Source organism: Homo sapiens, chromosome 5, assembly GCF_000001405.40.
Source record: "Homo sapiens chromosome 5, GRCh38.p14 Primary Assembly".
NCBI classification, from domain to species: Eukaryota; Metazoa; Chordata; class Mammalia; order Primates; family Hominidae; genus Homo; species Homo sapiens.
The window spans coordinates 164525755-164550505 of NC_000005.10; the positions used below are offsets into that span (position 1 = coordinate 164525755).

At 38.1% G+C, this 24751-nt stretch overlaps 2 long non-coding RNA genes across 2 annotated transcripts in view; both read left to right on the forward strand.

Moving 5' to 3' along the window:
- Positions 1-17230, forward strand: part of LOC102546299 (uncharacterized) — a 72706-nt gene extending 55476 nt beyond the window's left edge. Inside the window, exons 3-4 of the long non-coding RNA NR_105065.1 lie at positions 16316-16501; positions 17092-17230. This is a non-coding gene — a long non-coding RNA (uncharacterized LOC102546299). The remainder of the gene's footprint in view (positions 1-16315; positions 16502-17091) is intronic.
- Positions 1-24751, forward strand: part of LINC03000 (long intergenic non-protein coding RNA 3000) — a 765030-nt gene that overhangs the window by 229050 nt on the left and 511229 nt on the right. The gene's annotated exons all lie outside the window — the stretch shown is intronic.

The window sequence follows — 24751 nt, forward strand, 5'->3', positions numbered from 1 at the left end:
TTTCGCTCTTGTTGCCCAGGCTGGAGTTCAATGGCATGATCTCGGCTCACCACAACCTCCACCTCCTGGGTTCAAGCGATTCTCCTGCCTCAGCCTCCCAAGTAGCTGGGATTACAGGCATGTGCCACCATACTTGGCTAATTTTTTTTTTTAATTTTATTTTTAGTAGAGACTGGGTTTCTCCATGTTGGTCAGGCTGCTCTTGAACTCCCGACCTCAGGTGATCCACCTGCCTCGGCCTCCCAAAGTGCTGGGATTACAGGCATGAGCCACCACGCTGGACCTGAACTGTAATTCTACATTACTGTTCTTCTGTCTTTTGAGCACTTTTGCAGGTTTCCTGGAGCTTCCTCCCGCTAGTGCTCTGTGAACGCAGTTTGCTGATATAGGCATGCTCTCTTGGGCTGTCTACTTAAACTTTCCTCAGTGTCTGCTGTCCTGTCTTCCACACCTTACATGAGGCCCATGTGGGTAAAGTCTAACTCAAGGATCCCCAACAAAAGCCAGAGGGAAGGAAAAACTCACATCTAGGCTGTCATGGTGGGAAAGTGACCCATTCCTAATCCAGGACGCCCTCTTCACTCTGCTATCACAGGCCACTCTTGCCAGCTTCACCTTTATAGAATTATTTTGACTTCTACTTCTATGTTTCTTAAACTTTATTTATTTATTTATTTATTTATTTATTTATTTATTTATTTTTTGAGTCAGAGTCTCGCTCTGTCACCCAGGCTGGAGTGCAGTGGCACGATCTGGGCTCACTGCAAGCTCTGCCTACCAGGTTCACGCCATTCCCCTGCCTCAGCCTCCTAAGGAGTTGGGACTACAGGCACCCGCCACCACGCCCGGCTAATTTTTTGTATTTTTAGTAGAGACGGGGTTTCATTGTGTTAGCCAGGATGGTCTCAATCTCTTGACCTCGTGATCCATCCACCTCAGCCTCCCAAAGTGCTGGGATTACAGGCGTAAGCCACCGCGCTCGGCCCTCTTAAACTTTCTTTTTTTTTTTTTTTTTTAAAAAGAGATGCCTATCATTCTCAGCAAACTATCGCAAGGACAAAAAACCGAACACCGCATGTTCTCACTCATAAGTGGGAATTGAACAATGAGAACACATGGACACAGGAAGGGGAACATCACACACCAGGGCCTGTTGTGGGGTGGGGGAAGGGGGGAGGGATAGCATTAGGAGATATACCTAATGTTAAATGACGAGTTAATGGGTGCAGCACACCAACATGGCACATGTATACATATGTAACAAACCTGCACGTTGTGCACATGTACCCTAAAACTTAAAGTATAATTAAAAAAAAAAGATGCCTAGAAACCACTGAGTGTGTTTCTTTGAAATCCTTCTGGTTGATTGGAGAACACGAAGGAAGGCAGGGAAGACACCAATCTTTCAATATTTCTATCCTTAAAGAAATCCTCTCTATAATCTCACTAGTGGATTTCCCAACTCCCTCTCATATATTCCTCACCTGGGTAATGAGCCAATGGTTACTAGTCAGGTTTCACTATCTCTTGGCCTAGTCTAGTCTACAAACATATCTGATCTGGAACCTACTTTTTCAGCTTTTTGAGTCTAGGCCTAAAAACCCTTGAGACTGCACTTAATATTCTGATATATTTACTAACATATTCACTAATGTGTCACCTTTTATAATTCTGTTTTAACTTATTTGCTATGAAAGCTTTCCTGAAGATTCATTGAATATATTCTATGTGTAGCAATAGCTCTTCAGCCTTACTCTGCAATCTCTCTCTCTCTCTCTCTCAATTCTAATCAGATAATCTGCTTCATCAGTTATTATCCTTACAGTTTTATTCTCCCACTGAAAGCTCTTATTTTTCTTCCTTCACATACTAGGTTGAGAGCTTTTGTTGTTAGCTTCCTTTTTTGGATACGTTGTTTCTTTAGTAGCTCCTTCGGTTGCTCTTCTTACATCCATTATTGAAATGCTATCTAGCAAATTCATATTTAAGCTAAGAAAGGTTGGAAAAAAATCTGTATTTAATTTATTCGACAGTGTAACAAAAATGGCTTATTCTAACACATATCTCTTCAAAATTTCAGCAATACTTTCTCTGTGTCTGACAACACTATTTACAAACAAAATAATGCATTTTAGGCCAGGCGCAGTGCCTCAAGCCTGTAATCCCAGCACTTTGGGAAGCTGAGGCGGGCGGATCACCTGAGGTCAGGAGTTCGAGACCAGCCTGGCCAACATGGCGAAACCCCATCTCCACTAAAAATACAAAAACTAGCTGGGTGTGGTGGTGGGTGCCTGTAATCCCAGCTACTTGGGAGGCTGAGGCAAGAGAATCACTTGAACCCTGGAGGCAGAGGTTGCAGTGAGCCGAGATTACACCACTGCACTCCAGCCTGGGTGACAGAGCAAGACTCCATCTAAAAATAAAAATAATAATAATAATAATAATAATAATAATGCATTTTTAGTTTGTCACCAAATCCTTTGCCACACATTATCTCAGTCATTTTTACTATGAAAGAAAGAATTAATGTTCTCTCAGAAGGAATTTTTTTTTTGTCTTTCACAAGTAAAAGACTTCAAGAAAATATCTGAATGATTACTTTAAAAATACCTTGCTGGCTGGGCACGGTGGCTCATGCCTGTAATCCCAGCACTTTGGGAGGCTGAGGCGGGTGGATCACGAGGCCAGGAGTTCAAGACCAGCCTGGCCAGCATGGTGAAATCCCATCTCTACTAAAAATATATATAAAAAAAAATTAGCTGGGCATGGTGGCATGCACCTGTAGTCTCAGCTACTCGGGAGGCTGAGGCAGGAGAATTGCTTGAACCTGGCAGGCAGAGGTTGTAGTGAGCCCAGATCGTGCCATTGCACTCTGGCCTGTGTGACAGCACTTTAGGAGGCCGAGGCGGGCGGATCACGAGATCAGGAGATTGAGACCATCCCGGCTATCACGGTGAAACCCCGTTTCTACTAAAAATACAAAAAATTAGCCAGGCGTGGTGGCAGGCGCCTGTAGTCCCAGCTACTTGGGAGGCTGAGGCAGCAGAATGGTGTGAACCCGGGAGGCGGAGCTTACAGTGAGCTGAGATCGCGCCACTGCACTCCAGCCTGCGCCACAGAGCAAGCAAGACTCCATCTCAAAAAAAAAAAAAAAAAAAAAAAAAAACCTTGCTAATTGTGATGGCTTTATTTTAATATTATTACTCATGTCTCAAGGCAAAATAAACACGTAAAGGAAATTTCATCTGTATTTCAAATGATCTCTTTCACCAATTCTTATTAAATCTGAAAAGATGGTATTTAACCTAGTATTGTGGTTAATAACAGTTTTATACTTAAAGAAGAACAGGCAAAGTGTCAGATTGACCATTCTCTTGTTTTCCAACTGGGCTTTCGTAATTAATGTTATCTTGAGTTTAAGGATATATATAATAATATTTTGTAAACCACATCATCAGTTTAGGGAGGTTGGTTTCTTTAAACTTTAGACCATTATCTGTATAAATCCACCTAGCATAGTTCACATAAACTTCTATGTTTCCATACGCTAAAAGTGAGGGGAAAAAATGAAGGCATCACTTGACCTCTCTGTTCTGTGAAACTGCCACACTTCCTTCAGGGTCACGTCATAGCACATCTCGCATAATGGCCTGCCATGTGGACCTTATGAGGGACCAGAGTCATTCCATATCTTCAATATCAGTAAAGTCTTTTTCCTTATTTTGGGATGATATTCTTTTATATTTTCTTTGTGCTCGCCACACATTTGCACATTCCCTGATGTACACACATCGCACATTTAAGGGTTGTGTTCTGGACCAAACTGCATCCAGAGATGGGGAATTCACCTCCAAAGAAAAGAATTATTCTAACAAATTTGAAAGCTCTAACTGCTACTAATTCCGTCCTCGTATTAATCCAAAATCTATTTACTCTTTTTTTTTTTTTTTTTTTTTGAGAGGGAGTCTTGCTCTGTCTTGCTCTGTTGCCAGGCTGGAGTGCAGTGGTGGAATCTCGGCTCACTGCAACCTCTGCCTCCTGGGTTCAAGCGATTCTCCTGCCTCAGACTCCTGAGTAGCTGGGACTACAAGCGTGAGTCACCACGCCCAGCTAGTTTTTGTATTTTTAGTAGAGACAGGGTTTTACCATGTTGGCCAGGATGGTCTCGATCTCTTGACTTCATGATCCACCTGCCTCAGCCTCCCAAAGTGCTGGGATTACAGGCGTGAGCCACCACGCCCGGCTTATTTACTCAATTATTCACCTGCTGGTCCTAGGATAGCCAAAGGTAGTAGACAAGGAAGAAGAGCCCCTTAAGTATTTGATTTTTCATTTTCTAATGCAGATCATTTGGGTTGCCAAATGATTTATATGGTCAACACAATTGTAAACCTCAATGAAACAGAAATTGGTTTCAACTATTTCTTAAATCATGGTCTAATTAGACAAATAGAGTTCAAATACTATGCTACTACCAAATCACAATTTGTTGACAAAATCTGTCGCATCACCAAATTTACCAGTAGAGAAATTTCATAATTCTCCAGGGCGTTTCTTCTGAACTGACTCGCAGATATTCTGAAACTTACATCTCTTTAGCTCTTTTGATTCAGCTGGAAAGAACTCGCTTCTTCCCTGTACAGACAGTGCTTGTACTAAACATTCCTTATTTCCATGACATGAACTGATGCTCTCTTTGAGGTAAAAGTTTGTTCTTGTTCCGTTTGAAGTTAAACTGAGATCAGGGAAGAGAATCAGTTGGAGAGTTCCATTATGAGTACCAGGTAAAAGGAAACACCTCAACCTATATCATCTAAAAAACTTCCCAAACTGGCCATCGTGTAATAATAGAAACAACCCGTGAAAAGCTTGCTACTTCTGGTACAGTGATTTTAGCCTCTGAACAATACATACGAGAACGGTGAAAAGTGCATAGTGAAAAACCCCACACACTCAGCAAATGTGATCCTAGAGTTAGCATTGTTAGTGATTTCGTCCTCATTAAGAGTTTGTTTGGGTCTGATAGACTTTTCAAAGCACAAAATATTTCTCATTAATTTTGTCTTTTCTTTCTTAAAGATAAATTCTCAGCACACTGGATTCTCTTTGAGTGGCCTGAGAGGGAAATCCCCAGTGGGTTTTCAGTAGCCATTTTAAAAACAGGGTCTGTTTGCATGTAAGCAGCAAGGCCACATAAATGTTATGATTATACATCTTTTACACCTCACAAAAAATTAGAATGACCTTATAAAATTCTCCAAGACTGGACATTTTTAAGAGTGAACGGGTATAGTAATAACAAGAAGGTAGGAAAAGAGGCATAAACTCGAACTGTCCTGGGCAAACCTGGAGGTATGCTCTTCCCATGTAAAGTGTGTGACAGCCAGCAACACACAGCCAGTGGGTCCCAGACTTTCTACAAAGTGTTTCCTCCAACTATCTGTGCATCACAGTCCCCTGGACTGCTTGTTAAATTAACCAGGCCTCACTTCCTAGATGGTTACATTATCCATATTTTCAAGTTTCTGTCTGATTCTGATCACATTATTCAACTCAAAACTTGTGTAGGCTATTTCCCTCTGAAATCCTTCTACACTTGTGGCACACAATGGACTTGTCTATGTGCATATTTAGCCTATTCACCCTTTATATATATTGAAATTTAAGATGTATATTTTCACATTTTAACATCTTGAAAATCCAGAAATATCTTACAGTTGACGACATCTTAAAATCAGAACATAATTTTCAGTGCCCATGGATTCAGGAATTTGGTTTGTTGTTCCTGGAGGCCTGACTGGACAATTGTAGACCATCAATGTTGATGTTTAAGTCAATCAACAGTTTGAGAATCATATGAGGAAAGAATATGATACCCAGTTGTTATCTGATGATTTTTTATTGACACCTTCAGATACAAGTAAGAACAGAGGCATCAAATTTTGCATAATGGGTGTCAGCAAGTTTGAGAAAAATTTCCTGGAGGAAATACTGCTGTGTTTTTACAAAATACCTCAGTATGTGTCAATTCAGTGGCACAGCATTTTCTGTGGAAAAAACTCAGGCATTGATGCCTCAGAATTGAAGAATGATTCACAACAACTGGACAAAGGATGAAGAAGTTTTAAGAATATCTTAACACAATTATTTAACTTAATCTTTCCTTTTTATGTGCAAGAATGTTAGGATAAATATCTAAGTCTAAAAGAGCTCTTTCAATTAAAAATAAATTTGAAGTGACAAAAAGTATATGCTTTTGGTTATTTGGCAGATTTTAAAACATTTTCTAGTAGTTCATTAAAATATTCTGTTGTAATTAATAATGTCTGAGACTTGATGACACATGGTGTGTAACTACTCAAAAAAAAAAAGTTAAATTCTTTGGCAATTTTGCTTGCTATTCCATTCTGTCAACATGTGCCCTAGAATGAATATATAACAAGGAACACTGATATCAGTTAATTTCAGTTCCACTGCACTGCTCATAATAGAACATCTCCCCACAAAGTACGTGAATTCAGTGTTAAATATTTTTTAAAACATGTTCCTTTAAAATGAGCAAAGTAATTATCTGAAGCTCTAGCTAGAGTGTTCTATGTTAGAAAAAAATTACCTGGGTGATTCAATGAATTTTGAAGGGCAGTTCTGAGTCTGCACAATAACTAGAACAAGCCAGTGCCTGTTTAAGATGGTCTCCTCAGCACAACCAGACAACCACAAGCACAAAAAAGAAATAACAGCGCTCCCTGTCAGATTTAGTAGGATGTTTGCAAAGTTGTTAACTACCGAAAGCATCCAGGAAGAAAAGATCTGGGCTTGCATAGGTAGGAGTTTTGAACTGTGCCCCCCTCTTCCACAACTTTTCTTTCTAGTTGTGTTTCTTTTCAGCCTGTACAGGGAAGCCCAGCTGCCAACAGACAGCAGGCTGAACGGTAGCCAGCTGCTTTATAACTGTGTTAGCCAGAAGCCCTCATGAGAAATATTTTTCCTGGAAAATAAATTATAACATGTCTAAGTGGTGCCTGACAAAGCTAAACAGGAGGCATGCTGCTCTATTGCAAATTCATCTGCAGTCTCTGGGTAGAGAGACAAATAAAAGCACTTCATCAAAATCAGTCACAGAAACCCAGGAATACCCATAGGAGACCACTAAACTCTAAATACCAATCAATTTCTCCAACTTTTTTTGTCAAACTTGCAAGTCCTTTTAAGCAGTGTCTTCTTGAACTGCCAGGCAGCAGCTGGCTGGTATGGAGGGAGATCAGAAGGAGTACAGTTTGGGGGCCTTCTATGACACAGCGGTTTATCTAGCTGAGGACACTTATTGCTGAAGGGCTTATTTGGCCTTAGAGCATCAATTAAGGTTAAAGCTAAAAGCCTGCTCTTACTTCTTTATATTCACAATGTCTCTGCTTAAAGAAGTTTACCTAAATACACCAGGACACAATATAAATAGAAAATGTTTTAGGAAGCTACCCCTCTCTGACCACAAGTAAAAAACTGCAGCTCTGCAAGTAACTCAATACACAGCCTGTACTTAGTGTTAGATCATTTAAAAAATATTTAACTTAACATGTAACTCAAATTTAACTGAACATGGCGTCTGCACTTAGTGTTTGATATTTGATTATTTGCTCATCCCTGACAACCACAACCACAGTTTCACTGGGGCAAGGTATTAATGCTAATACCTTAGCTAGCCCATATTGACCTTGATATAATTACTATTTATGATGCACCTATTCTTCCTTTTTTTTTTTTTTAAACAATGTCTCACTTTTTCGCCCAGGCTGGAGTGCAATGGCGCAATCTCCACTCACTGCAACCTCCGCCTTGTGGGTTCAAGCAATTCTGCCTCAGCCTCCTGAGTAGCTGGGATCACAGGCATGTGCCAACAAGCCCGGCTGATTTTTGTATTTTTAGTAGAGATGGGGTTTCGTCATGTTGGCCAAGCTGGTCTCAAATTCCTGATCTCAGGTGATCCACCGCCTCGGCCTCCCAAAGTGCTGAGATTTTATATTGCAGAGATGCATGATAATCTCCACCCTTGGAGAATTCATGATTTTATTCAGGAATCTGATAGTCATAAAGGATGGCTTTGCTCCAGGCTATACAACTGACTAGTTGTGTAACTGTGGGAAAGTCACTTAGCTCTTATTATTAAGGTGAGTTTGGCATAAGAGTTACATATAAAGAAAGTCATTACGGTCAATACACTGGAAGAGTAAAAGAATGGAAGAAGGAAAGACAAACTTGGAGCCATCAAAATATAAGAAGCATGAGTCAAGGTGAGATTAAGGATGGAGAAAAATGGGTGGATTTATTATGTTTTTTTTTTGAGAAAGACTCAAATGTTCTTCTAATACCTCACTTGCCAGGCTAGGGATGTCCTGCTAAATTTACATTGATTCTGTGGAGCTGGTGAGGTTATCAGCTGAGGGACTGAAATATATACAGCTCTTTTGTAGCTAGGTGTGTGATCTTCAAATATCATTTAATCTCACCAGAGACTGGTATTCTTTATAATGAAATAGAGGTAATATTCCTGTGACCCACCTCTCTCTTAAGAATATACAAATAAGGCCAGGCGCAGAGGATCACGCCTGTAATCCCAGCACTTTGGGAGGCCAAGGCAGGCAGATCCTTGAGGTCAGGACTTCAAGACCAGCCTGGCCAATATGGTGAAACCCCATCTCTATTAAAAAATACAAAAATTAGCTGGACATGGTGATAGGTGACTGTAATCTGAGCTACTCGGCAGGCTAAGGCAGGAGACTCACTTGAACCCAGGAGGTGGAGGTTGCAGTAAGCCAAAATTGTGCCACTGCACTCCAGCCTGGGCAACAGAGTGAGACGCCATCTCAAAAAAAAAAAAAAAAAAAAAAAAAGAATATAATCGGTGTAAAAATGGTTGGAAAGAAAAGCTGCTATTTTGGATGTACAAGGCAATGTTATTATTTGCTGAAAGGTTTCAGGTACTAAGGATTCAGGTAAATGGTCCACTCAGCATTTACATATTTTCCTCTAATAAATAAACCCATGCATAATTTACTTAATAGAAAACTAAAGACAATAAATTAGAAGAGCTAGAAAAATATGACTATTTTCTTAAATGCATCACATTCAAATTAGAGAAATCTAAGGCCCAATATCACAAGGTCAAAGTAATCTTACTCAAGCCTGACTTCAAATTGTCTTAATTTACAAAATAGGTTCATCCATGAGAGTCTTTCCAAATAAGGCAATGCTAGAGAAATATCTAGGAAATTGGATATAGTGTTTACATGTTGATAAACTACTTTTGCCTGGATTGTAATGGATTTATTCATTTTTCTTCATAGCAAATAAAAAATAAAAATATGTTTTAGTATTGGGAGGATGTATGTGTCGAGGAATTTATCCATTTCTTCTAGATTTTCTAGTTTATTTGCGTAGAGGTGTTTATGGTGTTCTCTGATGGTAGTTTGTATTTCTGTGGGATCGGTGGTGATATCCCCTTTATCATTTTTTATTGCATCTATTTGATTCTTCTCTCTTTTCTTCCTTATTAGTCTTGCTTGCGGTCTATCAATTTTGTTGATCTTTTCAAAAAACCAGATCCTGGATTCATTGATTTTTTTGAAGGGTTTTTTGCTTCTCTATTTCCTTCAGTTCTGCTCTGATCTTAGTTATTTCTTGCCTTCTGCTAGCTTTTGAATGTGTTTGCTCTTTCTTTTCTAGCTCTTTCAATTGTGATGTTAGGGTGTCGATTTTAGATCTTTCCTGCTTTCTCTTGTGGGCATTTAGTGCTATAAATTTCCCTCTACACACTGCTTTGAATGTGTCCCAGAGATTCTGGTATGTTGTGTCTTTGTTCTCATTGGTTTCAAAGAACATCTTTATTTCTGCCTTCATTTCATTATTTACCCAGTAGTCATTCAGGAGCAGGTTGTTCAGTTTCCATGTAGTTGAGCGGTTTTGAGTGAGTTTCTCAATCCTGAGTTCTAGTTTGATTGCACTGTGGTCTGAGAGACAGTTTGTTATAATTTCTGTTCTTTTACATTTGCTGAGGAGTGCTTTACTTCCAACTATGTGGTCAATTTTGGGGTAGGTGTGGTGTGGTGCTGAAAAGAATGTATATTCTGTTGATTTGGGGTGGAGAGTTCTGTAGATGTCTATTAGGTCTGCTTGGTGCAGAGCTAAGTTCAATTCCTGGGTATCCTGGTTAACTTTCTGTCTCGTTGATCTGTCTAATGTTGACAGTGGGGTGTTAAAGTCTCCCATTATTAATGTGTGGGAGTCTAAGTCTCTTTGTAGGTCACTAAAGACTTGCTTTATGAATCTGGGTGCTCCTGTATTGGGTGCATATATATTTAGGACAGTTAGCTCTTCTTGCTGAATTGATCCCTTTACCATTATGTAATGGCCTTCTTTGTGTCTTTTGATCTTTGTTGGTTTAAAATCTGTTTTATCCGAGACTAGGATTGCAACCCCTGCCTTTTTTTGTTTTCCATTTCCTTGGTAGATATTCCTCCATCCCTTTATTTTGAGCCTATGTGTGTCTCTGCACGTGAGATGGGTTTCCTGAATACAGCACACTGATGGGTCTTGACTCTTTATCCAATTTGCCAGTCTGTGTCTTTTAATTGGAGCATTTAGCCCATTTACATTTAAAGTTAATATTGTTATGTGTGAATTTGATCCTGTCATTATGATGTTAGCTGGTTGTTTTGCTCGTTAGTTGATGTAGTTTCTTCCTAGCCTTGATGGTCTTTACAATTTGGCATGTTTTTGCAGTAGCTGGTAGCTGTTGTTCCTTTCCCTGTTTAGTGCTTCCTTTAGGAGCTCTTTTAGGGCAGGCCTGGTGGTGACAAAATCTCTCAGCATTTGCTTGTCCGTAAAGTATTTTATTTCTTCTTCACTTATGAAGCTTAGTTGGCTGGATATGAAATTCTGGGTTGAAAATTCTTTTCTTTAAGAATGTTGAATATTGGTCCCCACTGTCTTCTGGCTTGTAGAGTTTCTGCCGAGAGATCAGCTGTTAGTCTGATGGGCTTCCACAGGAAGAAGCTGAATCTCTGAATAGACCAATAACAGGCTCTGAAATTGAGGCAATAATCAATAGCTTACCAACCAAAAAAAGTCCAGGACCAGATGGATTCACAGCCAAATTCTACCAGAGGTACAAAGAGGAGCTGGTACCATTCCTTCTGAAACTATTCCAATCAATAGAAAAAGAGGGAATCCTCCCTAACTCATTTTGTGAGGTCAGCATCATCCTGATACCAAAGCCTGGCAGAGACACAACCAAAAAAGAGAATTTTAGACCAATATCCTTGATGAACATCGATGCAAAAATCCTCAATAAAATACTGGCAAACCGAATCCAGCAGCACATCAAAAAGCGTATCCACCATGATCAAGTGGGCTTCATCCCTGGGATGCAAGGCTGGTTCAACATAGGCAAATCAATAAATGTAATCCAGCATATAAACAGAACCAAGGACAAAAACCACTTGATTATCTCAACAGATGCAGAAAAGACCTTTGACAAAATTCAACAACCGTTCATGCTAAAAACTCTCAATAAATTAGATACTGATGGGTCGTATCTCAAAATAATAACAGCTATCTATGACAAACCCATAGCCAATATCATACTGAATGGGCAAAAACTGGAAGCATTCCGTTTGGAAATGGGCACAAGACAGGGATGCCCTCTCTCACCACTCCTATTCAACATAGTGTTGGAAGTTCTGGCCAGGGCAATCAGGCAGGAGAAGTAAATAAAGGGTATTCAATTAGGAAAAGAAGAAGTCAAATTGTCCCTGTTTGCAGGTGACATGATTGTATATCTAGAAAACCCCATCTTCTCAGCCCAAAATCTCCTCAAGCTGATAAGCAATTTCAGCAAAGTCTCAGGATACAAAATCAATGTACAAAAATCACAAGCATTCCTATACACCAATAACAGACAAACAGAGAGCCAAATCATGAGTGAACTCCCATTCACAATTGCTTCAAAGAGAATAAAATACCTAGGAATCCAACTTACAAGGGATGTGAAGGACCTCTTCAAGGAGAACTACAAACCACTGCTCAATGAAATAAAAGAGGATACAAACAAATGGAAGAACATTCCATGCTCATGGGTAGGAAGAATCAATATCGTGAAAATAGCCATAGTGCCCAAGGTAATTTATAGATTCAATGCCATCCCCATCAAGCTACCAATGACTTTCTTCACAGAATTGGAAAAAAACTACTTTAAAGTTCACATGGAACCACAAAAAGAGCCCGCATCGCCAAGTCAATCCTAAGCCAAAAGAACGAAGCTGGAGGCATCATGCTACCTGACTTCAAACTATACTACAAGGCTACAGTAACCAAAACAGCATGGTACTGGTACCAAAACAGAGATAGAGACCATTGGAACAGAACAGAGCCCTCAGAAATAATGCCGCATATCTCCAACTATCTGATCTTTAACAAACCTGACAAAAACAAGAAATGGGGAAAGGATTCCCTATTTAATAAATGGTGCTGGGAAAACTGGCTAGCTCTATGTAGAAAGCTGAAACAGGATCCCTTCCTTACACCTTATACAAAAATTAATTCAAGATGGATTAAAGACTTAAATGTTAGACCTAAAACCATAAAAACCCTAGAAGAAAACCTAGGCAATACCATTCAGGACATAGGCATGGGCAAGGACTTCATGTCTAAAACATCAAAAGCAATGGCAACAAAAGCCAAAATTGACAAATGGGATCTAATTAAACTAAAGAGCTTCTGCACAGCAAATGAAACTACCATCAGAGTGAACAGGCAACCTACCTACAGAATGGGAGAAAATTTTTGCAACCTACTCATCTGACAAAGGGCTAATATCCAGAATCTACAATGAACTCAAACAAATTTACAAGAAAAAAACAAACAACCCCATCAAAAAGTGGGCAAAGGATATGGACAGACACTTCTCAAAAGAAGACATTTATGCAGCCGACAGACACATGAAAAAATGCTCATCACTGGCCATCAGAGAAATGCAAATCAAAACCACAATGAGATACCATCTCACACCGGTTATAATGACGATCATTAAAAAGTCAGGAAACAACAGGTGCTGGAGATGATGTGGAGAAATACAAAAACTTTTACACTGTTGGTGGGACTGTAAACTAGTTCAACCATTGTGGAAGTCAGTGTGGCGATTCCTCAGGGATCTAGAACTAGAAATACCATTTGACCCAGCAATCCCATTACTGGCTATATACCCAAAGAATTATAAATCATGCTGCTATAAAGACACATGCACACATATGTTTATTGTGGCGCTATTCACAATAGCAAAGAGTTGGAACCAACCTAAATGTCCAACAACAACGATAGACTGGATTAAGAAAATGTGGCACATGTACACCATGGAATGCTATGCAGCCATAAAAAATGCTGAGTTCATGTCCTTTGTAGGGACATGGATGAAACTAGAAACCATCATTCTCAGCAAACTAGTGCAAGGACAAAAAAGCAAACACTGCATGTTCTCACTCATAGGTGGGAATTGAACAATGAAAACACATGGACACAGGAAGGGGAACATCACACACTGGGGACTGTTGTGGGGTGGGGGGCAGGGGGAGGGATAGCATTAGGAGATATACCTAATGCTAAATGACGAGTTAATGTGTGCAGCACCCCAGCATGGCACATGTATACATATGTAACAAACCTGCACATTGTGCACATGTACCCTAAAACTTAAAGTATAATAATAATAAAATAAAAAATATTTGTGTTTTATACTATAAAGTAATGTGGGTGATAAAGGTCAAAATATATGTTCTTAACATGTAATGTGAACCACTTGGCATAGGCAACATGAAATAGACTGAGGGGTCCTTGTTATATGAGCATAATTAATTAACAACAATAAAAAATAACAAAAGTTATTTCAAGCAGTGAGAAAACATTTTGATTCCAGTTTCATCTTGTTAAATAAAGCATAAAGTCATGAAAAAGTTGCTTTTTTTTAGATATAAGTCAAAGAAGAAATTGTCATCTGGTTTTCAGGAGAATGTCTCAATTGCAGATTTCTTAATTAAGTGGTTTGTTTCTTAGAAAGTAAAAGTTTATAAACTCCATCAATTATTTAACATGTATTTTATGACTCACATAGCTGTCTCATTTTAAAAATTCATCTATTTCTGGTAAGATCAATAGTATATGTCTCTAATATATCTTACTTTAAAAGTAGGAAACTCACTGAAAGTTTTATGATTAAAACGAAGTTTGAGGAAGCTATTTAAAACATGCTTCATAGATGATGGTTCCATGGGTTATCCTCAAACCCACATATTCTTTTCCTTCATGAAATTCATTTATATGAGTAGAAAAATATACTATCGTAAAAGCCCTGGAACTCTAGAAGAATTTCATGAGAATTATGGCATAGAATGGGTTTAACATAGCCAGTTGCTTTATATTAATAAAACTCATTTGTTTCATAGATACAGGAACGTTTCCCACTACCTAAATTAAAAAAGCATGGTTTAGATTGAGAAGGATTGAGACCAGAAAATGGAAAGTCATTAGTAACCCTGCAGCATACTCCAAATCTCTGGTGTTTGCTGTCTCTGCTTATTGTTGTTATGTCACCATAGAGTGGGTTTCTCTTTTTTCTTTTCTGTTGGGTTTGGTTTCGCTTTGTTTCTTATTTTTGTTTTTCCCTAATGAGCTTGATTGCTTGTTCAGAACAGGAATTTTGCTGCTTTTAGCACCATCAGCCAACTGAATTGAACCCCAATGACCTAACTCAAAAATATCTGAAAAGAAAACTTGGTTACTCCAGTGTGGGTTAAGTATCTATTGCACATAATTGGTTTTGGCCAGGTAGGTGAGCTTATGTAGTCCAAACCCGTAGATGTAAATGAGAAGAGGGGAAATTTCTTAAAAGCCATAATTGGGCTGGACAGGTGTCCTAGAGGTTTTCTACTGCATTGTTAATTCACCAAAGCTTATTGTCATGGGATGTCAATATTAAATTGCTGGTGGCTGAGAGTCAGGGCTATTTCCTGGTCTGTTTTAACTTCTCTGTGATAAGTGTATTATGCATATGAAAATGTGCACTTCAAAGCATGAAAGGCAGTCTTCCCATTTGGGACCACATTTTAAATGTAGCCAATCAACAATCAACTAATGTTAGTTCTTATACATTGACTATGGTTCATATCTGGAGATAATAATCAAATACAGCATTTCAATTAGCAGAATAAGCAGGATGAATTTGACTCCTAAATAATTGCAGCAGATCTTTAAATAAGAAATTCTGTAGAGAAAGATTATGTGAGGAAGAAGGGAGAATCTTTAATTTTTTTATAGTACATATTTCAAATATCTGCCTAAATGCTTGAGTGTAAAGCAATTTAATTCAGTTCTAAATATTTGTAAATCATTTCCGAAGTCCAGACTATCCATTATAGTTATAGCTAACATTTATTGAAATTACACCTGTACATGAAGTAAGGTGCTTCCTTTTTCATGTATTATTTCATGACATTCTGAGATAGGTTCATTATACTTGTGTTTAATCAGAACATTAAAAAGTTGCCTGTGAAAGGCCATGAGACTAGGGGATAGAAAAGCAAAATGCTACCCCAATTCTACCTGAGACCAGAGTTCATGGTGTTTTGTTTTTGTTTTAACTACTTACTGATATTAAAAATAATTCAGTACAGAGTTATATCCATTCTTTTTTCTCATTAGATTCTTTCTGTTAATTATTTCTAACATAGTATTTAATTTCTAACATTTTGTCGTATGTCAAAAAATTATTCAGATAGCTTTTACTCATTTTTTTTGCAAATGTGTTTTTCCTATGAACACAAATCTTATCATAACTAAAGATTATATACATCAAGATTTGTGGGATTGATGGTGAATTTAAAATTATGAAACTAGAGCTATAAACTTTAGTAACATGTCTCATCTCACATAGAAATGTAAAAGAAAAATGTTTTTAAAATTAGAGATGTGAAGATGGAGAAACAAATTATAAGATACTTTTACAGGGCTGGGCACAGCGGCTCATGCCTGTAATCCGAGCACTTTGGGCGGCCGAGGCAGGAGGATCCCTTGAGCCCAGGAGATCGAGATCAGCCTGGGAAACATAGCAAGACCCTGTCTCAATAGAATAAAATAAAATACTTTTACAGAATGTCTTTCATCTCCATGTATGTATGTGTAAGTGTCTTTCTCTATACCTTATAAATTATAGTTGACATGGTTAATACCTAAAGCTCAGTCACCTTATCAGTTTCTGTTTCTGGTCTTTAAGATTTGTTCCTTTCTCCACCATGCCTCACTATGTGTCACCAAACTTAATTCAGCATCAGTGCTCCAAATACTCCATCCTACAATTAGAGAAACCACTGAATTCCGATATCCTCCACCCAAATGGTAATGAAGATTGGAGAAAGTGACGCCCATGCATAGCGGAGAAGTGGATTGCAGATATAACAAGGTATACTCAAAAAAAAAAAGGCGTAATGTATGTTAGCCTGGGCTAGGGGGGCATCAGTTACAGAGCCTCCTTTGAGAGTTTTGCAGCTTAGTGAGGAGTTTACATGATTATTTATTTATTTATTTTTTAGACAGAGTCTCACTCTGTTGCCCAGGCTGGAGTGCAGTGGCATGATCTTGGCTCACTGCAACCTCCACCTCCCAGGATCAAGCCGTTCTCCTGCCTCAGCCTCCCGAGTAGCTAGGATTACAGGTGCACACCACCACGCCCAGCTAATTTTTATATTTTAAGTAGAGATGGGTTTTCACCATGTTGGCCAGGCTGGTCTTGAACTCCTGACCTCAGGTAATCCACCCTCCTCGCCCTCCCAACGTGCTGGGATTACAGGCGTGAGCCACCTTGCCCGGCCTTAAATGATTTTTGAGAAACAAATTACTGAGACACTTAAAAAAGAAATGAAATTAAAGTTGATAACATTAGTTCAGAATAAGCATGTTCTTTAAGTGGTATAAACTGTTTGTTTATTTACAAAAAGAATGTAAAATACAAATGTTTGTTTTTGATATTTTATATGGATTTCTATTATGCAGGAGCACAGTAAACTGAGATGTAAAACACCTTATTCAACAACGAGGATGCTGACTCAAAAGCAAAAGTTGAAGCACATTATGAATGAATGTCAAAAGGGAAAAATCTAAAGCTAACATAAAAGAGTGCAACTACATCAAATTGGATAAGGAATAGTATTTTATAGCCAATTAATGAATATTTAAAGGACATCAACCTCATCTCTTTGAAACACATATGAACATAGTTGAGCTAGAGGGTGACATGATGTATATATTTAATCCAGAGGCATTTTTGTTAAAATTTTTCAACAGTTTTAATCACATGTATTTAGTGATTCATATAATTGCTAAATTATAATCTAACCAAATAGCCAGAAGTAACTTTTATATCATTTGTTACATAATCATAATTGGCCAGATTATTGCAAACTCACAAGTTTATGAATGATTACTGTAAAAGAATTTGAATTGGTCAATTATAAAGAACAATGCATCCCTTAATTAATATTTATTTTAATAAAATTCATCACTCCAGAAAGTTTGCCTTAAGCAATAATGTTTTCAAAACATCTTTTATGACATTTCACTTCCTGAATATGGTTATATTACAAACTTTTGAATAAGTGGTTGAAAAAGATTTAGGACAATATGATGCAATATAATTTTTAGCTCCATGGTAATAATTTTCAAATTGGAGATAGAAATGATGAGCTTATTTAATAAAGACTTGAATATGTATATTCTTCTACATGTCTGTAAAGATGATTCATGAACAACTTAGGGAGCAATCATTTCAACCTTCAGTTAAAAGATAAAGAGTAAAACAACAATATTTCTTTTGCTGTGAATTTAATATGAATATTTTAACCAATTTGCAGACTCATCAGATCTAACACTAATGTAAGATGGCTATAATATTTTCTTTTATGAATATTATTGACTGAAGGTTAGGAAAGACTCCCTTCTTCTTGCCAAGTACTACATTAATAAATGAAAATTTTTATTAGGTGTCTGAGTGAATAAAAGTCAGACTCTCAAGAGATAGACATCCATCAGTATTTTAACAAAGTTTTTAAATATTGTAGATATTAATGAAAAGCAGTCACCATATATCCATTTTTTCCCCATCTGTGTTAATGAAAATGTTTTGAAAGTTCAAATGCTACTGATTTGGGTTTACCACCACCTGCCATTTTCTTATTAGATGTGTCATTCACAACAAAATTTCTCTACTAATCAAGCTCTGTGGGTGTAGGGAGAACCCCTGAAACTATCACTACAGAATAAAAGATGAAATGCTCCTGAGTATTGTAAATACAAAATTGCATGCAGGATTGTGTAAAGACAATGCCAGGTTGGACTGCCAGAATGAGCCAACAGCGTGTGACGTGCTTCCCCCTGCAGAGAGCCTATGAATGGATGTGCGGTCAGGGAGGTTTCACATCACCAAGATTCCTATCCCAGAAAAGCAGATGTTCATGGCTCTGGGAATGGAATGCGACCCTTGTGAAGAGCCTATAAACGGATGCATGAGGGGCACCTGTCCATATGGATAAGTTAGGACTATAAATGCCCTCATCTTGCCACGGCTCTTCTAGGCCTCTTTAGGGTTAAGGCATACTCCCTTCTGAGAATTTTTGGTTTAACCGGTTGTCTAGCTTCACATCCTGTTTCTATGGAATGTTTGTAACCAGCTTTTGCTGCAACTGTTACTGCTGATTAATATCTGCTATGGAAAGACTGTTTCTGTTTTAAGGCTCTGTTAGAAAAACTGATGCACACACTATATTGTAAATTCTTATCTCTGTATAGTGTACTTCTGCATACAGAGGTTATGTTAAAGAATTACTTCATCCCCATGTAACCGTCTCACTTCATAATCAAATGACCCTAAATCCCTCACTAACCTATCCCTGCCCTCACTAAACTTAATAATAAATGCTGGCATATCCAGTGCATTGGTGGCACCGCGGGACCAGAAGGCAGTGACCCCCCTGGACCCAGCTTTCACTATCTTGTGTGTGTCTATTATTTCTCGACCTGCCGATCTGCCTGGGACAAAGAAAGAGCCCCATTGCATTGCAGGCTGCTGGCCAGATCCTGCAGTATGTGGGCATGGTCTGGATATTAGATACACAGAACAAAATGACCTGACACACTCTTTATGCCCAAGATAGTTAACAAAATGCTGTCTATCTCACATATTTCCTCTCTTCTTAGGGGCATTGAGAGGTGGTCTCTTCCTGTATATTATTTTTTTCTTTGGATTAAAGATCAGATTACTTTTTTTTCCTTTTATTTTAAGTTCAGGGGTACATGTGCAGGTTGTGAAGGTTTGTTACATAAGTAAATGTGTTTCATGGGGGTTTGCTGTACCAATTATTTTATCACACAGGCATTATCCTAGTATCCATTATTTATTTTTTATGATCCTCTCCCTCCTTCCAACCTCCATCCTCCAATAGGCCCCAGTGTGTGTTGTTCCCCTCCATGTGTTGATGTGTTCTTATCATTTAGCTTGCATTTATAAGTGACAACATGTGGTATCTTGTTTTCTGTTCCTGCACTAGTTTGCTAAGAATAATGGCCTCCAGCTCCATCCATGTTTCTGCAAAGGACACAATCTCATTCTTTTTATGGCTGCAGAGTATTCCATGGTGTATTTGTACCACATTTTCTTTATCCAGTCTAGCCTTGATGGGCATTTGGGTTGGTTCCAAGTCTTTCCTATTGTGAATAGTGCTGTGATGAATATACATGTGCATGCGTCTTTATAATAGAATGATTTATATTCCTTTGGGTATATACCCAGTAATGGGATTGCTGGGTTTAATGATATTCCTAACTTTGGGTCTTTGAGGAATCGCTACACTATCTTACACAATGGATGAACCAATTTACATTCCCACCGACAGTGTAAAAGCATTCCTTTTTCTCCACAACCTCACCAGCGTCTATTATTTTTTGATTTTTAGTAATAGCTTTCTGACTTGTGTGAGACAGTATCTCATTGTAGTTTTGATTTGCATTTATCTAATGTTCAGTGATGTTGACCTTTTTTTCATACGCTTGTTGGCCGCATGTATGTCTTTTGACAAGTTTCTGTTCATGTATTTTGCCCACTTTTTAATGGGGTGTTTTTCTAATTTGTTTAATCTCCTTGTAGATGCTGGATATTAAACCTTTGTCTGATGCATAGTTTGCAAAAATTTTCTCCCACTCTCTACATTGTCTTTTTTTTCTGTTGATAGTTTCTTTGGCTGTGTAGAAGCTCTTTAGTGTAGTTAGATCCCATTTGTCAGTTTTTGCTTTTGTTGCAATTGCTTTTGGTGTCTCTGTCGTGAAAGCATTAGCCATGTCTATGTCCTGAATGGTATTCCCTAGGTAGTCTTCCAGGGGGTTTTTATAGTTTTGGATTTTACACTAAAGTCTTTACTCCATCTTGAGTTAAAGTATAAATAAGAGGTCCAGTTACAATTTTCTGCATATTGCTAGCCAGTTATCCCAGCACCATTTGTTGAATAGGGAATCCTTTTCCCATTGCTTGTTTTTGTCAGGCTTGCCAAAAATCAGAGAGTTGTTAAGTGAACAGTTTTATTTCTGGGTTCTTTATCTGTTCCATTGGTCTAAGTGTCTGCTCTGCACCAGTACCATGCTGTTTTGGTTACTGTAGCCCTGTAGCATAGTTTGAAGTTGGATAGTGTGATGCCTCCAATTTTGTTCTTTTTGCTTAGAATTGGCTTGGTTATTTGTGCTCTTCTTTGGTTCAGTATGAATTTTAAAATAGTTTTCTCTATTTTCAAATAAATATATTACAAGAAACATTAATGCAAAATTTCTCATGATTTTGTGTGAGATATAAAGACTGCATAATGTATTATACTTTAATTTCCTCCCCTTGTTATGAAATAAATATTAAAATAACCTTTCAGAAATAAGAAGGTCAAAGTCTTAGAGTACTATGCTCTTCTAGAGATAATTTATTTATTTTATCCTTTTCAAATAAAGCAAAGAATTTGATATGGTAGGCCAAGAAATTTCCAAGGTTCATGAGGCAGCATCTTTCACATATATTTAGCAGGTGATCAAAAATATAACACCGAAATAATTGAATAGCACTAGAAGAGTAACTAGTTTGGAGATACTAATACAATCATGTGTTGATTAGCAATGGTGATATATTCTTTTTTTAAATTATACTTTAAGTTCTAGGTTACATGTGCACAACGTGCAGGTTTGTTACATATATATACATGTGCCATGTTGGTGTGCTGCACCCATTAACTCGTCATTTACATTAGGTTTATCTCCTAATGCTATCCCTTCCCCCTCACCCCACCCCACAACAGGCTCTGGTGTGTGATGTTCCCCACCCTGTGACCAAGTGTTCTCATTGTTCAATTCCCACCTTTGAGTGAGAACATGTGGTGTTTGGTTTTCTGTCCTCATGATAGTTTGCTCAGAATGATGGTTTCCAGCTTCATCCATGTCCCTACAAAGGGCATGGACTCATCCTTTTTTATGGCTGCAGAGTATTCCATGGTGTATATGTGCCACATTTTCTTAATCCAGTCTATCATTGATGGACATTTGGGTTGGTTCCAAGTCTTTGCTATTGTGAATAGTGCCGCAATAAACATACATGTGCATGCGTCTTTATAGCAGCATGATTTATAATACTGTGGTTGAACAATGGTTGAACTAGTTTACAGTCCCACCAACAGTGTAAAAGTTTTTGTATTTCTCCACATCGTCTCCAGCACCTGTTGTTTCCTGACGTTTTAATGATCGCCATTATAACTGGTGTGAGACGGTATCTCATTGTGGGTTTTGATTTGCATTTCTCTGATGGCCAGTGATGATGAGCATTTTTTCATGTGTCTGTCGGCTGCATAAATGTTTTCTTTTGAGAAGTATCTGTTCATATCCTTCACCCACTTTTTGATGGGGTTGTTTGATTTTTTCTTGTAAATTTGATTAAGTTCTTTGTGGATTCTGGATATTAGCCCTTTGTCAGATGGGTAGATTGTAAAAATTTTCTCCCATTCTGTAGGTAGGTTGCCTGTTCACTCTGACGGTAGTTTCTTTTGCTGTGCAGAAGCTCTTTAGTTTAATTAGACCCCATTTGTCAATTTTGGCTTTTGTTGCCATTGCTTTTGGTGTTTTAGACATGAAGTCCTTGCCCATGCCTATGTCCTGAATAGTAATGCTTAGGTTTTCTTCTAGGGTTTTTATGGTTTAAGGTCCAACATTTAAGTCTTTAATCCATCTTGAATTAGTTTTTGTAGAAGGTGTAAGGAAGGGATCCAGTTTCAGCTTTCTACATATGGCTAGCCAGTTTTCCCAGCACCATTTATTAAATAGGGAATCCTTTCCCCATTTCTTGTTTCTGTCAGGTTTGTCAAAGATCAGATGGTTGTAGATGTGTGGTGTTACTTCTGAGGGCTCTGTTCTGTTCCTTGGGTCTATATCTCTGTTTTGGTACCAGTACCACGCTGTTTTGGTTACTGTAGCCTTGTAGTATAGTTTGAAGTCAGGTAGTGTGATGCCTCCAGCTTTGTTATTTTGGCTTAGGATTGTCTTGGCAATGCGGGCTCTTTTTTGGTTCCATATGAACTTTAAAGTGGTTTTTTCCAATTCTGTGAAGAAAGTCATTGGTAGCTTGATGGGGATGGCATTGAATCTATAAATTACCTTGGGCAGTATGGCCATTTTCATGATATTGATTCTCCTATCCATGAACATGAAATGTTCTTCCATTTGTTTGTATCCTCTTTTATTTCATTGAGCAGTGGTTTGTAGTTCTCCTTGAAGAGGTCCTTCACATCCTTGTAAGTTGGATTCCTAGGTATTTTATTCTCTTTGAAGCAATTTTGAATGGGAATTCATTCAAGATTTGGCTCTCTGTTTGTCTTTTATTGGTGTATAGGAATGCTTGTGATTTTTGCCCATTGATTTTGTATCCTGAGACTTTGCTGAAGTGGCTTATCAGGTTAAGGTGATTTTGGGCTGAGAAGATGGGGTTTTCTAAATATACAATCATGTCATCTGCAAACAGGGACAATTTGACTCCCTGTTTTCCTAAATGAATACCTTTTATTTCTTTCTCCTGCCTGATTGCCCTGGCCAGAATTTCCAACACTATGTTGAATAGGATTGGTGAGAGAGGGCATCCCTGTCTTGTGCCCGTTTTCAAAGTGAATGCTTCCAGTTTTTGCCCATTCAGTATGATATTGGCTGTGGGTTTGTCATAAATAGCTCTTATTATTTTGAGATATGTCCCATCAATACCTAGTTTATTGAGAGTTTTTAGCATGAAGGGCTGTTGAATTTTGTCAAAGACCTTTTCTGCATATATTGAGATAATCATGTGGTTTTTGTCTTTGGTTCTGTTTATATGATGGATTACATTTATTGATTTTCGTATGTTGAACCACCCTTGCATCCCAGTGATGAAGCCAACTTGATCGTGGTGGATAAGCTTTTTGATGTGCTGCTGGATTCGGTTTGCCAGTATTTTATTGAGGATTTTTGCATCAATGTTCATCAGGGATATTGGTCTAAAATTCTCTTTTTTGGTTGTGTCTCTGCCAGGCTTTGGTATCAGGATGAAGCCAGCCTCATAAAATCAGTTAGGGAGGATTCCCTCCTTTTCCATTGATTGGAACAGTTTCAGAAGGAATGGTACCAGCTCCTCTTTGTACCTCTGGTAGAATTCGGCTGTGAATCTGTCTGGTCCTGGCCTTTTTTTGGTTGGTAAGCTATTAACTATTGCCTCAATTTCAGAGCCTCTTGTTGGTCTATTCAGGGATTCAACTCCTTCCTGGTTTAGTCTTGGGAGGGTGTATGTGTCTAGGAATTTATCCATTTCTTCTAGATTTTCTAGTTTATTTGTGTAGAGGTGTTTATAGTATTCTTTGATGGTAGTTTGTGTTTCTGTGGGATTGGTGGTGATATCCCCTTTCTCATTTTTTATTGCGTCTATTTGATTCTTCTCTCTTTTCTTCTTTATTAGTCTTGCTAGCGGTGTATCAATTTTGTTGATCTTTTCAAAAAACCAGCTCCTGGATTCATTGATTTTTTGAAGGGTTTTACATTCTAAGAAATGCACCGTTAGGCAATTCCGCCATTGTGCAAACATCATAGAACGTACTTACAGAAACTGAGATGGCGTAGTCTACTACACATGTAGGTATATGGTATAGCCTATTGCTCCTTGACTATAAGCCTGTACAGCATGTTAGTGTACCAGTACTGTAGGCAATTATAACATAATGGTGAGTACTTGTGTATCTAAACATATCTAAATATGGAAAAAGTATGCCAAAACTACAGCATAAAAGATTTTTAAAATGGTACCACCTATATGTATATGTATAATTAGTTACCATGAATTGAGCTTGCGGGTCAGAGAGTTGCTCTGGGTGAATGAATCAGTGAGTGAGTGGTGAGTGAATGTGAAGGCCTAGGATATCAGTGTACACTACCGTAGATGTTACAAACACTGTAGAGTTAGGCTGCATTAAATTTTTAAAAAACTATTTTCTTTCTTTAATAGTAAATTAAGCTTAGCTTACTGTAACCTTTATATTCTATAAACTTACTAATTTATTAAAAAACCTTTTAACTCCTTTGTAGGAACACTTAGCTTAAAACACAAACACATTTTAGAGCTGTACAA